The sequence below is a fragment of the Homo sapiens genome, chromosome 7 (genome assembly GCF_000001405.40).
Source record: "Homo sapiens chromosome 7, GRCh38.p14 Primary Assembly".
Classification (NCBI taxonomy): domain Eukaryota; kingdom Metazoa; phylum Chordata; class Mammalia; order Primates; family Hominidae; genus Homo; species Homo sapiens.
This window is the reverse complement of record NC_000007.14, coordinates 10,907,253-10,909,903: the sequence shown is the minus strand read 5'-3', so window position 1 is coordinate 10,909,903 and position 2,651 is coordinate 10,907,253. Positions and strand designations below refer to the sequence as shown.

General features: G+C 42.1%; 1 annotated feature.

The window, feature by feature from the left end:
- Window positions 207-739: an enhancer, noted in NCBI's record as "H3K27ac hESC enhancer chr7:10948792-10949324 (GRCh37/hg19 assembly coordinates)". NCBI's record gives its function as "activates a minimal SCP1, AML or CMV promoter by ChIP-STARR-seq in naive H9 embryonic stem cells {active_cell/tissue: H9 hESC(naive)}" and the evidence as "EXISTENCE:reporter gene assay evidence [ECO:0000049][PMID:30033119]".

The window sequence follows — 2,651 nt, the reverse complement described above, 5'->3', positions numbered from 1 at the left end:
ATTTGTCACCTAGGGCAGCTGTAACAGAAAACCACAGGCTTAAACAGCATGATTTTTCCCCCCTCACAGTTATAGAGGCTAGAAGTCCAATATCAAGGTGTCAGCAAACTTGCTTCCTTTGGGGAGACCTCTTTCCTGGCTTGCAGACTGCCGCCTTCTCCTTGTGTCCTCACAGGACATTCATTTTGTGCATGTGGAGAGAGAGAGAAAGAGAAAGGGAGATAGAGATATCTCTGGTGTCTCTTCCTCTTCTTATAAAGACACCAATCCTAACAGATTAGGGCTCCACCCTTATGACCTCACTTAACCATAATTACCTCCCTAAAGGCAATATATTGAGGAATTGAGAAACATAGTCATATTGGAGTTCAGGGGTTCAACATATGAATTTTGCAGGGACACAATTCAGTCCATAATAGATGATTTTACTTGTCTTACAAAGGCAGGATGCATCCCCAACTAATTTTAGGTAATAAGAAATGGAAGGACTGTGTATCAATTTATTGTAGTTGTATTACAGTCCCAAGCAAGGCAGGGCATCCTGGGAATGGGAATTTGTAAAAATGCCAGGGTAAACAGGATTGGGAATTGGAGTGATAGACAAAGACAAGACTGTTTGGGAGCGTGGGGGTAGTGATAGGAAACAGACATAATTGAAATGGTTGGCCATTAGATTTAAACTAATGCTTTCCTAACTTTTTTCATGTCATGGCAGGAAAAGGACATAGATATGATAGTTTTTGTGGCATCTGGAGGCATCTATATGGGATGTGATGGGAAAATTTTTTTAAATTATTTTTTAGGAATATATACTATAATATAGCAAATATTATGTAAGATATTGAAAGGGCTCCATTGTCTGGGGGTATATATCCTGGCTCTTGGTCGTGGTTGAGAAATAATTCAGGACACTGACACACATGAGGAGTGGGTTCAGGAGCAGAAAGTTTAATAGAAAAAGAAAAGAGAGAGAAAAAGCTTTCTCATATTGAGAAAGTCGGTAGCCTGAGGGTCTTCCGTTTGCAGCGGAATGCAGTTGGTTTTGTAAAGAGGCTTGAGGAGGCGGTGATTGATTTACATGGGGCCAGGGGACTGGTTTTACCAGGTGTGCCATTTACACATCCCACGAAAAGACTGGCCCTCCCACCCTAGTCTTTTATTATGTAAACTTGGCCTCCACGTGGCTGGTCGCCATGATGCCTGTACACGTGGTGTCATCTGGAGGCTGCCATGACAGCTGGCACACGTGGTGATAAGAAAAAGAGGGCAGGAGATGCCACATTGAATGTACCTGGCTTCCAGGTACAGCTGCCTGCATTTACATATAAAAGCTTCCAGTTTGCATATCTATGCCTGACTTCTCAGGCCGCTTTCTATTAGAGAAGAAATGGTTTGGGGTTGCTTTTTATTAAAGGAAAATTGCGCGGAGAAGTTTAACCTTCTCTAGCTGCCTAAAAATAATTTCTTAATAACTCCTGTATTAATATTAACTATTGAATTTGCATACTATCCTAAATAAAATCTTAATTTTTTTTTGAGGCAGAGTTTTGCTCTTGTTGCCCAGGCTGGAATGCAATGGAGCGATCTCGGCTAACCGCAACCTCCGCCTCCCGGGTTCAAGCGATTCTCCTGCCTCAGCCTCCCGAGTAGCTGGGATTACAGGCATGCACCACCATGCCCGGCTAATTTTTGTATTTTTAGTAGAGATGGGGTTTCTTCATGTTGGTCAGGCTGGTCTCAAACTCCTGACCTCAGGTGATCCGCCTGCCTTGGCCTCCCAAATTGCTGGGATTACAGGTGTGAGCCACCACGCCCGGCCTAAAATGTTTTAATGAAAAAAACCTGAGTTTCTTTTCATAAGCATACTTAATTGTTGCTGTTGTTGTTGTTGAGGCAGAGTCTTGCTCTCTCACCCAGGCTGGGGTACAGTGGTGCGATCTCGGCTCACTGCAACCTCCGCATCCTGAGTTCAAGCGATTCTCCTGCCTCAGCTGCCCAAGTAGCTGGGACTACAGGTACGTGCCACCATGCCTGGCTAATTTTTGTATTTTTAGTAGGATGGGGGGGTTCAGTATGTTGGCAAGCCTGTTCTCAAACTCCTGACCTCAGGTGATCCACCCACCTTGGCCTCCCAAAGTGCTGGGATTACAGGTGTGAGTCACTGCGCCTGGCTGCATACCATTTTTAATGCCAGCATTATTACTTCCCTAGGATGACCATATGCAATTCCTTATCAAGACTTCTAAATGATAATACCTTTAAATTCTCAACAGTCATTATTGATAAGAAATGTTATTCACATAAGTATGTAATAAAAAAATTAAAACAAATTTTATAGGACAATTCAATTTTAGAAGAGTTGAAATCAGTTTCAAAAACTTTTTAAAAAGCAGCTTTTCCTTTCTTTCCATGGACAAATGTAATGTTAGAATTTTTTTTTTTCCATCAGGTGATTTCACATATAATTAAGCTTTTTCAGACCAAGCATTTAAATGCATGTGCATTGTTAGAGGAATCATCCTATAGTTAGCTTGGTGGCTACCAAAAGGGTAAATTAGCCATGAATATTAATTATTTATAATGACAGATTTTCGGGATGCAGCCTCCAGCTCTGCCTGTCTGACTTCCTCACCCCCAGCTTTCTGGAGTGT